General features: G+C 45.1%; 1 protein-coding gene across 5 annotated transcripts in view; it reads right to left on the bottom strand.

Moving 5' to 3' along the window:
• The window catches only part of BLVRA (biliverdin reductase A), a 49221-nt gene that overhangs the window by 25848 nt on the left and 11266 nt on the right, over window positions 1-12107 (bottom strand). For all 5 annotated transcript variants that reach the window (XM_011515474.3, NM_001253823.2, NM_000712.4 and 2 more), the window contains one exon: window positions 10325-10357. In XM_011515474.3, coding sequence (XP_011513776.1) covers window positions 10325-10336 — 12 coding nt within the window. In that variant the 5' untranslated portion in view covers window positions 10337-10357. The remainder of the gene's footprint in view (window positions 1-10324; window positions 10358-12107) is intronic.

Genomic DNA, 12107 nt, shown 5'->3' with positions numbered 1-12107 from the left:
CCACTCCTATAATCCCCGCTACATGGGAGGCTGCAGCTGAAGAATTGCTTGAAACGGGAGGCCGAGGTTGCAGTGAGCTGAGATCACACCACTGCACTCCAGCCTGGGTGACAAGGGTGAGACTGTTTCAGGAAAAAAAAAGTATATCACACAGGAGGTGATATATGTTGCCAGGGGTCAGTAGCAAGGGGAGGTTGTGACTATAAAGGGGCAACAGAAAAGAATGTTTTGGGGTGAGGTTCTGCATCCTGACATCCTGGGGTGATGGTTACACATATGTGTTTTAATGGGTAAACCTCTACACCAAAAAAAAAGAGGCAGTTTTACTGCATATAATTTTTTTTTTTTTTTTGAGGCAGAGTCTTGCTCTGTAGCCCAGGCTGGAGTGCAATGGCACAATCTTGGCTCACTGCAACCTCTGCCTCCTGGGTTCAAGTGATTCTCCTGCCTCAGCCTCCTGAGTAGCTGGGATTACAGGCATGTGCCACTACGCCTAATTTTTGTATTTTTAGTAGAGATGGGGTTTCGCCATGTTGGCCAGGCTGGTATCAAACTCCTGACCTCAGTTGATCCGCCCACCTCGGCCTCCCAAAGTTTTGGGATTACAGGCATGCGCCACGGCGCCCAGCCTACTGTATATAAATTTAGAAGGTATTTGCACAAAAACAAAATGTTTCATGAACATACACAAATAAAAAAGGAAAACCACTTAATTCATTAGAATAGTTGGCTTTGGCAGGGTGAGAATGGGGATGGAGAGAAAATGAATAAAATATAAATAAGTCTGAGAGCGGGGCCTTGCACAGCACAACAGAGGCAATGTGTCAGGAACTGGGTGTGTGGACCGTCCCTGTGCCTGAGGTCTCTTCCCCCTGCCTTCCAAAAGGGAGAGGGAATGGCCTAGAGGAGGGTGAGGAAAGCAAAGGAGAAGAAGAAAAGAATTAGGTAAGTGAGGAAGTGATGAGGAGGCAGGAAGTAGGATAAGGAAGGGACAGACTGGAAAGATATGGTGGTCCCACTTAGCGATAAGTTCCATGAGCATGAGTACCACACTTACATTTTTACCATTAGAGCCATCAAGCCAGGTCTAGAGTCTGGTACAGTATGGTGTCACATAAATATTGGTGACTACATCAAGGCAATGACAGGATTTACAGCCTTGGTCACTGGCTGCTGGCTTGTGGGAACAGAGTGAGGGGACTGGAGCGCCTGGCCCACAGATGGCCCTTCGAGGAGGAGCAGATTTGGGGCAGGTGAAAGCAGAAAGTACAGCCTGGGTTATAACGGGCTTGGGGTCCCTGTGGCAGCTGTGACTGAGATGAGTGACAGGCATGGTGGCTCATGCCTGTAAACCCAGCACTTTGGGAGGCCGAGGTGGGAGGATCACTCGAGGTCAGGGGTTCAAGCCCAGCCTGGCCAACATAGTGAAACCCCATCTCTACTAAAAACACAAAAATTACCCAGGTGTGGTGGTGCTCCTGTAATCCCAGCTACTTGGTAGGCTGAGGTGGGAGAATCGCATGAACCCGGGAGGCAGAGGTTGCAGTGAGCCAAGATCACGCCACTGTACTCCAGCTGGGTGACAGAATGAGGCTCTATCTCAAAAAAAAAGAAAAAGAAAAAAAATATAAAATATATATATGTAAGGAACAGCAGAGGAGGACCCAAGTCTAGCATGTTCTTACAAGGTTAAGAGGAAAAGCCATCAAAAAGGACAGAAGAGATCACTGATGACTGATGGAACTGCTCCTGGACCAGGGTGTATAAGCTTAATATTAATGCAAAGCTTCTATTGTTTCTTTAGAACTTAAAAGATCCTAAGAATTAGAGCAAGCCACAGGGTGAGCCACAGGGGCCTTCAGATAAGGAGGTCAGAGGCACAAGAAAGTGGTTACCAGAAGTCAGCCCCAAGTGGGGCAGGGCTGGTCAAGATAACGTAATAGGGAGACTTACTTTTGGCTGTTTTCCATTCTGTAGCCTGAGTTTTACACTATGAACATGTGTCTACATTATTACAAAATAAATTTTTATAAAATTTACAGAGATCATCATTGACCCTGACAAGACTCATTTCGGTATATAATATGGGAAAAGAAACCAGACTGCAACAGGCTGAGAATGACCCAGGGAAGAGAAAACGGAGAAATTAACTGCAGGTATCTTTTTTGAGAAGCCTGCCTTGCAGGGGATGAGAAAGATAGGATAGTGGAGCCAAGATGGCCGAATAGGAACAGCTCCGGTCTACAGCTCCCAGCGTGAGCAACGCAGAAGACGGGTGATTTCTGCATTTCCATCTGAGGTACCGGGTTCACCTCACTAGGGAGTGCCAGACAGTGGGTGCAGTGCACCGTGTGCAAGCCGAAGCAGGGCGAGGCAGTGCCTCACTCGGGAAGCGCAAGGGGTCAGGGAGTTCCCTTTCCTAGTCAAAGAAAGGGGTGACAGACAGCACCTGGAAAATTGGGTCACTCCCACCCTAATACTGCGCTTTTCCAACAGGCTTAAAAAACAGCACAACAGGAGATTATATTCTGCACATGGCTCGGCGGGTCCTATGCCCACGGAGTCTCGCTGATTGCTAGCACAGCAGTCTGAGATCAAACTGCAAGGTGGCAGCAAGGCTGGGGGAGGGGCGCCTGCCATTGCCCAGGCTTGCTTAGGTAAACAAAGCAGCCGGGAAGCTCGAACTGGGTGGGGCCCACCACAGCTCAAGGAGGCCTGCCTGCCTCTGTAGGCTCCACCTCTGGGGGCAGGGCACAGACAAACAAAAAGACAGCAGTAACCTCTGCAGACTTAAACGTTCCTGTCTGACAGCTTTGAAGAGAGTAGTGGTTCTCCCAGCACGCAGCTGGAGATCTGAGAACAGGCAGACTGCCTCCTCAAGTGGGTCCCTGACCCCCGAGCAGCCTAACTGGGAGGCACCCCCAAGTAGGGGCAGACTGACACCTCACACAGCCAGGTACTCCTCTGAGACAAAACTTCCAGAGGACCGATCAGGCAGCAGCATTTGCGGTTCACGAAAATCCGCTGTTCTACAGCCACCGCTGTACTGCAGCCACCGCTGCTGATACCCAGGCAAACGGTCTGGAGTGGACCTCTAGCAAACTCCAACAGACCTGCAACTGAGGGTCCTGTCTGTTAGAAGGAAAACTAACAAACAGAAAGGACATCCACACCAAAAACCCATCTGTACATCACCATCATCAAAGACCAAAGGTAGATAAAACCACAAAGATGGGGAAAAAACAGAGCAGAAAAACTGGAAACTCTAAAAAGCAGAGCGCCTCTCCTCCTCCAAAGGAATGCAGTTCCTCACCAGCAACGGAACAAAGCTGGACGGAGAATGGCTTTGATGAGTTGAGAGAAGAAGGCTTCAGATGATCAAACTACTCTGAGCTACAGGAGGAAATTCAAACCAATGGCAAAGAAGTTAAAAACTTTGAAAAAAAATTAGATGAATGTATAACTAGAATAACCAATACAGAGAAATGCTTAAAGGAGCTGATGGAGCTGAAAGCCAAGGCTCGAGAACTACGTGAAGAATGCAGAAGCCTCAGGAGCCAATGCGATCAACTGGAAGAAAGGGTATCAGTGACGGAAGATGAAATGAATGAAATGAAGCGAGAAGGGAAGTTTAGAGAAAGAAGAATAAAAAGAAATGAACAAAGTCTCCAAGAAATATGGGACTATGTGAAAAGACCAAATCTACGTCTGATTGGTGTACCTGAAAGTGACGGGGAGAATGGAACGAAGTTAGAAAACACTCTGCAGGATATTATCCAGGAGAACTTCCCCAATCTAGCAAGGCAGGCCAACATTCAGATTCAGGAAATACAGAGAACACCACAAAGATACTCCTCGAGAAAAGCAACTCCAAGACATATAATTGTCAGATTCACCAAAGTTGAAATGAAGGAAAAAATGTTAAGGGCAGCCAGAGAGAAAGGTCGGGTTATCCACAAAGGGAAGCCCATCAGACTAACAGCGGATCTCTCGGCAGAAACTCTACAAGCCAGAAGAGAGTGGGGGCCAATATTCAACATTCTTAAAGAAAAGAATTTTCAACCCAGAATTTCATATCCAGCCAAACTAAGCTTCATAAGTGAAGGAGAAATAAAATACTTTACAGACAAGCAAATGCTGAGAGATTTTGTCACCACCAGGCCTGCCCTAAAAGAGCTCCTGAAGGAAGCACTAAACATGGAAAGGAACAACCGGTACCAGCCACTGCAAAAACATGCCAAATTGTAAAGACCATCAAGGCTAGGAAGAAACTGCATCAACTAACGAGCAAAATAACCAGCTAACATCATAATGACAGGATCAAATTCACACATAACAATATTAACTTTAAATGTAAATGGGCTAAATGCTCCAATTAAAAGACACAGACTGGCAAATTGGATAAAGAGTCAAGACCCATCAGTGTGCTGTATTCAGGAAACCCATCTCACGTGCAGAGACACACATAGGCTCAAAATAAAGGGATGGAGGAAGATCTACCAAGCAAATGGAAAACAAAAAATGGTAGGGGTTGCAATCCTAGTCTCTGATAAAACAGAATTTAAACCAACAAAGATCAAAAGAGACAAAGAAGGCCATTACATAATGATAAAGGGATCAATTCAACAAGAAGAGCTAACTATCCTAAATATATATGCACCCAATACAGGAGCACCCAGATTCATAAAGCAAGTCCTGAGTGACCTACAAAGAGACTTAGACTCCCACACAATAATAATGGGAGACTTTAACACCCCACTGTCAACATTAGACAAATCAACGAGACAGAAAGTTAACAAGGATACCCAGGAATTGAACTCAGCTCTGCACCAAGCAGACCTAATAGACATCTACAGAACTCTCCACCCCAAATCAACAGAATATACATTTTTTTCGGCACCACACCAGACCTATTCCAAAACTGACCACACAGTTGGAAGTAAAGCACTCCTCAGAAGATGTAAAAGAACAGAAATTATAACAAACTGTCTCTCAGACCACAGTGCAATCAAACTAGAACTCAGGATTAAGAAACTCACTCAAAACTGCTCAACTACATGGAAACTGAACAACCAGCTCCTGAATGACTACTGGGTACATAATGAAATGAAGGCAGAAATAAAGATGTTCTTTGAAACCAATGAGAATAAAGACACAACATACCAGAATCTCTGGGACACATTCAAAGCAGTGTGTAGAGGGAAATTTATAGCACTAAATGCCCACAAGAGAAAGCAGGAAAGATCTAAAATTGACACCCTAACATCACAATTAAAAGAACTAGAAAAGCAAGAGCAAACACATTCAAAAGCTAGCAGAAGGCAAGAAATAACTAAAATCAGAGCAGAATTGAAGGAAACAGAGACACAAAAAACCCTTCAAAAAAATTAATGAATCCAGGAGCTGGTTTTTTGAAAAGATCAACAAAATTGATAGACCGCTAGCAAGACTAATAAATAAGAAAAGAGAGAAGAATCAAATAGACGCAATAAAAAATGATAAAGGGGATATCACTACCAATCCCACAGAAATACAAACTACCATCAGAGAATACTACAAACACCTCTACGCAAATAAACTAGAAAATCTAGAAGAAATGGATAAATTCCTCAACACATACACCCTCCCAAGACTAAACCAGGAAGAAGTTGAATCTCTGAATAGACCAATAACAGGCTCTGAAATTGTGGCAATAATCAATAGCTTATCAACCAAAAAGAGTCCAGGACGAGATGGATTCACAGCCAAATTCTACCAGAGGTACAAGGAGGAGCTGGTACCATTCCTTCTGAAACTATTACAATCAACAGAAAAAGAGGGAATCCTCCCTAACTCATTTTATGAGGCCAGCGTCATCCTGATACCAAAGCCTGGCAGAGACACAACCAAAAAAGAGAATTTTAGACCAATATCCTTGATGAACATTGATGCAAAAATCCTCAATAAAATACTGGCAAACCAAATCCAGCAGCACATCAAAAAGCTTATCCACCATGATCAAGTGGGCTTCATCCCTGGAATGCAAGGCTGGTTCAACATATGCAAATCAATAACGGTAATCCAGCATATAAACAGAACCAAAGACAAAAACCACATGATTATCTCAATAGATGCAGAAAAGGCCCTTGACAAAATTCAACAATGCTTCATGCTAAAAACTCTCAATAAATTAGGTATTGATGGGACATATCTCAAAATAATAAGAGCTATCTATGACAAACCCACAGCCAATATCATAACGAATGGGCAAAAACTGGAAGCATTCCCTTTGAAAACTGGCACAAGACAGGGATGCCCTCTCTCACCACTCCTATTCAACATAGTGTTGGAAGTTCTGGCCAGGGCAATCAGGCAGGAGAAGGAAATAAAGGGTATTCAATTAGGAAAAGAGGAAGTCAAATTGTCCCTGTTTGCAGATGACATGATTGTATATCTAGAAAACCCCATTGTCTCAGCCCAAAATCTCCTTAAGCTGATAAGCAACTTCAGCAAAGTCTCAGGGTACAAAATCAATGTACAAAAATCACAAGCATTGTTATACACCAATAACAGACAAACAGAGAGTCAAATCATGAGTGAACTCCCATTCACAATTGCTTCAAAGAGAATAAAATGGGTAGGAATCCAACTTACAAGGGACGTGAAGGACCTCTTCAAAGAGAACTACAAACCACTGCTCAATGAAATAAAAGAGGATACAAACAAATGGAAGAACATTCCATGCTCATGGGTTGGAAGAATCAATATCGTGAAAATGGCCATACTGCCCAAGGTAATTTATATATTCAATGCCATCCCCATCAAGCTACAAATGACTTTCTTCACAGAATTGGAAAAAACTACTTTAAAGTTCATATGGAACCAAAAAAGAGCCCGCATTGCCAAGTCAATCCTAAGCCAAAAGAACAAAGCCGGAGGCATCACACTACCTGACTTCTAACTATACTACAAGGCTACGGTAACCAAAACAGCATGGTACTGGTACCAAAACAGAGATATAGATCAATGGAACAGAACAGAGCCCTCAGAAATAATGCCGCATATCTACAACTATCTGATCTTTGACAAACCCGACAAAAACAAGCAATGGGGAAAGGATTCCCTATTTAATAAATGGTGCTGGGAAAACTGGCTAGCCATATGTAGAAAGCTGAAACTGGATCCCTTCCTTACACCTTATACAAAAATTAATTCAAGATGGATTAAAGACTTACATGTTAGACCTAAAACCATAAAACCCTAGAAGAAAACCTAGGCAATACCATTCAGGACATAGGCATGGGCAAGGACTTCATGTCTAAAACACCAAAAGCAATGGCAACAAAAGCCAAAATGGACAAATGGGATCTAATTAAACTAAAGAGCTTCTGCACAGCAAAAGAAACTACCATCAGAGTGAACAGGCAACCTACAAAATGGGAGAAAATTTTCCCAACCTACTCATCTGACAAAGGGCTAATATCCAGAATCTACAATGAACTCAAACAAATTTACAAGAAAAAAACAAACAACCCCATCAAAAAGTGGGCGAAGGATATGAATAGACACTTCTCAAAAGAAGACATTTATGTAGCCAAAAAACACATGAAAAAGTGCTCATCATCACTGGCCATCAGAGAAATGCAAATCAAAACCACAATAAGATGCCATCTCACACCAGTTAGAATGGTGATCATTAAAAAGTCAGGAAACAACAGGTGCTGGAGAGGATGTGGAGAAACAAGAACACTTTTACACTGTTGGTGTGACTGTAAACTAGTTCAACCCTTGTGGAAGTCAGTGTGGCGATTCCTCAGGGATCTAGAACTGGAAATACCATTTGACCCAGCCATCCCATTACTGGGTATATACCCAAAGGACTATAAATCATGCTGCTATAAAGACACATGCACACGTATGTTTATTGCGGCACTATTCACAAAAGCAAAGACTTGGAACCAACCCAAATGTCCATCAATGATAGACTGGATTAAGAAAATGTGGCACATATACACCATGGAATACTATGCAGCCATAAAAAATGATGAGTTCATGTCCTTTGTAGGGACATGGATGAAACTGGAAATCATCATTCTCAGCAAGCTATCGCAAGGACAAAAAACCAAACACCGCATGTTCTCACTGATAGGTGGGAATTGAACAATGAGAACACATGGACACAGGAAGGGGAACATCGAACTCCGGGGACTGTTGTGGGGTGGGGGGAGAGGGGAGGGATAGCATTAGGAGATATACCTAATGTTAAATGACAAGTTAATGAGTGCAGTACACCAACATGGCACATGTATACATATGTAACTAACCTGCACATTATGCACATGTACCCTAAAACTTAAAGTATAATAATAATAAAATAAAATTAAATTAAAAAAAGAAAGATAGGATAACAGTTGCTGGACAAGATGTGAGGTGTCATTTTGTTCTGAAGAAAGCATTTTGAAATATCGATGAGAAAGAGGTAGTGGGAATTAGGTTAATGATGCACATGGCAAAGGAGATAACTAAGGAGGTGGTGCAAGGTCTGAGCAGGCAGGAGTGTGCAGTTTCAGAGGAGAAGGGTATACCGTCACTAGGTGATATGGTTATACTTTGTGTCCCCACCCAAATCTCATCTTGAATTGTAATCCCCATAATCCCTGTGTGTCAAGGGAGGAGCCAGGTGGAGGTAACTGAATCACGGGGGTGGTTTCCCCCATGCCGTTCTCATGATAGTGAGTTCTCACGAGATCTGATGGTTTTATAAGGGGGTCTTCCCCCTTCGCTCAGCACTTTGCCTTCTTGCCACCTTGTGAAGAAGGTGCCTTGCTTTCCCTTTGCCTTCCACCATAATTGTTGTTTCCTGAGGCCTCCCCAGCCATGCTGAACTGTGAGTCAATTAAACCTCTTTCCTTTTTAAATTACCCAGTCTTGGGCAGTTCTTTATAGCAGCATGAAAATGGACCAGGAATGTCTCATACCAGACAGGGATACATCCCCCTTTCTTCTTTCCACACCCAGCCCTGGGGCAGGGGGGAAGCTGCTCCAGGATGGGCCTGAGTAGTTGAAGCCAATCACAAAATCCCTGCTCCTCAGACACACTATGGTCCAGGACCTGATTCTGGCCAATAAGACCGAAGGAGACATTTGATGGGGCTTCAAATAAAGGCTCCCACTCCCCTGAAGGAGTTGCAGGAAGCCACTTCTTCCTGCTGATGAAAGGGAATGCGAACATATGTGGCCCCAACTGCCACTGCAGCCATCTTGCTGCCACATGGGCACCTGCCCTAGGATGCAACCAACAGCTGGATGGAGAGCAGAGAGATGAAAAGCTCCTGGATCCTTGAGGCAGTCACTGAGCCGCAGGATCGACCAGCCCTGAAGCCTGCCCTTCACCTGGACTTCCAGGAAAAAGCCACATTAAGTCAGGCTTTCTGGTGTTCACAACCTGGAACTTTCTCACTGACAAACATCCCTTGCACTGTGACAGGAGGAACAGGACAAATGGAGAGGCAGGAATTGAGGGAGATGATGTCAGATGGAATGTTTACATTTTCCTCTGTAAAATGAAAAGGGATCCTGATGCTAAGAGTGAGGGGGACCTTCGAGGAGGACAGAGCTTAGGGAGAGGGATGAAGCCTGGAGCTGGGGGTTCAGGGCACTGGCAAGGAGCTGCCTAGAGTGACAGGGGGCCTGGCGGGTGGTGCTGAGCACCAGATAAGGGTGTTGAGACATCTGCCAGCTGCAAACAGCACAAGGCTGTGCCACTCACCCAAGACCCCCCTCTTGTGGGGATGGCCTCTGTGTTTGCCATGTGGATGGACAGGACAAGTGGGAAAAGCATAGTGGGCGTCAGCACAGCAGTGGCTGAAGTGATGAACCCCAAGGTCTAGGCTCCACTTGGAAGGGAGTGAACAGAGGAAGGGGCTGATGGGTAAAACAAAAGGAAAAAACAAAAGGATAAGGAGCTAGACATCTCCATGCATCAAAGAACTGGAAGTGAGAGCACCAAGGAGACAATGCAGAGAAAGTGTTTCCAGAATAACACAAAGCAGGGATCTGGGCCCAGCAACCTCCATGCCCCACTACTAGCCAGAGCTAGGGAGTGTTGTTTCAGGATTAGCTGCAGTGGGTAAGTTCGAATGAAGCCAGACAGACACAGATAAGAACTCAGAGGGGCCTAGTTCTTCCTGCATCACCCAGAACCACGTGCACTTCAGTAGGCTAGAGGGGAAATGTTCTCAAGTTTGTGCTGATGTTTCTGAAAGGGAATGGAGACTCTGCAAAGGAGAAATGAGGGACACAATAAGAAAAGCATCCCTTAAACTGGTCTTTGTAAAGAACTCACCTCTGCATTCATCTTGGTCTCTTCCTTCGGTCACTGTAAAGACAAAAGCAGAGGTTCAGGTCCCTGGTGGCACCTGCCCAAACTCCAGGCAAACATTCCCCTTTGCCACCCCATGCTCCCCCACTGCTTCCTGTCCCATCATTCTCATGTTTCCCAAATGCCTTCACCACCTGTGCCTTCCAGCTAGGATACCCAGGCCAGTGTCTACTTTGGGGCTGGTGGTAGCTGACTTCCCTGGGATGTCACACCAGCAATGCTTCCTTAGAGAAGGGCATTTCCAAGCCCAGATCCGTCTCCTACATTGGAAGAGCAGCTGCAATCGGGATGCCTCCATGGGAAGGATGCACTTCCCAAAACTGGTGCTTGAAGAGGACAGTTTTTTATCTGGCTTTTTAAATGGGGACAAGCAAGGCAATAAGAAATATGTACTTTTTTTTCTTCCTAGCTGAGTTTCTGGAGGACTGCAATTTAGTATGTTCAAAGAATAGTCCAAGAAGCCGCTCCGGACCCTCAGCATTAAGACGAAGGAGGGGGCAAACAGGTGAGCAGGGGTAGCAAGGAAGGAGGGGTGACAAGAGGAGATGAGGGGAGACCAGAGAGTGAAGGAAAAGAAAGCAACAACACGGCTTAACAGGGGTCCTCAACTTTAATGTACCCCTAGGATTCTTGTTGAAAATGCATATTTCTGGGTTTCACTCCCAGATTCTGATTTGGAAGGCCAAGAGTGGAGGGGAGGCCATGAATCTGCATTTTCACCAAGCATCCAGGTAAAGGCACACAGACGGTCAGGAGCCACACCTGGACAAACACTGGAATGACAGTAGAACAGAGGCCTGTAAAGATTAATTTTTTCTCTCACTTGTTAGAGCCACTAGAATCACCACTGTATTTTAACTAAAACTGGGCAGGAAAGGTCAGGCAAATGGATAACCAGAGGTGATGAAAAATGCACTACAGATGCCTCTCCAGCCCCTCCACCTGCATAGGCTGTCCAGGAAGCCGATGACGATGACCACTCCTAGCTTGCAGAGGGCAGAAGGCCTCTGAAAAGGGAAGGCTGTGGCAACCCCTGCCCTTGGACCCAGCACAGCATTTGATCTCATTCTCTTTGGTTAAGCACAGGGATGAGAACCATGAATGACAGTGAAATAACCACCCCCATTCCAAAACAAACAAAACCGACCTTGGCAACCTTAAGACTACCCGGGGAAGGGGGCATGGGTGATCGTGTAGGCTTTGTGTTGAAAATAGCCTGCTTTTGGAGCTGGGCGCAGTGGCTCACGCCTGTAATCCCAGTACTTTGGGAGGACAAGGAAGGCAGATCACCTGAGGTCAGGAGTTCCAGGCCAGCCTGGCTAACATGGCGAAACCCCGTCTCTACTAAAAATACAAAAATTAGCCGGGTGTGGTGGCGCATGCCTGTAATTCCCACCTACTCGGGAGGCTGAGGCAGAAGAATTGCTTGAACCTGGGAGGAGGAGGCTGCAGTGAGCCAAGATCGAGCCACTGCACTCCCAGACTGGGCGACAGAGTGAGACTCTGTCTCAAAGAAAAAAAAAAAAAGAAAATAGCCTGCTTTCGGCAACTCCCCTCCCTTCTCTCTTCCCATTGCTCCTTCCTGCTTTGAGAGTGGGTCTCATGACCCAACCTGGCCAGCACACATGATGCCTTTCCTTTTGCAGTCTGGAGCCTTTTCACATCTGAAAAAAATCTGAAAAAGGGAACCTACTAGAAGAAAAACTCCAAAAAGCAGAATGTGACAAAGAAAGTGGACTTTCTTCTC

This window comes from Homo sapiens, chromosome 7 (assembly GCF_000001405.40).
Source record: "Homo sapiens chromosome 7, GRCh38.p14 Primary Assembly".
Taxonomy (NCBI): Eukaryota; Metazoa; Chordata; class Mammalia; order Primates; family Hominidae; genus Homo; species Homo sapiens.
The sequence above is the reverse complement of the archived record's forward strand: the minus strand, read 5'-3'. Positions and strand labels throughout refer to the sequence as shown.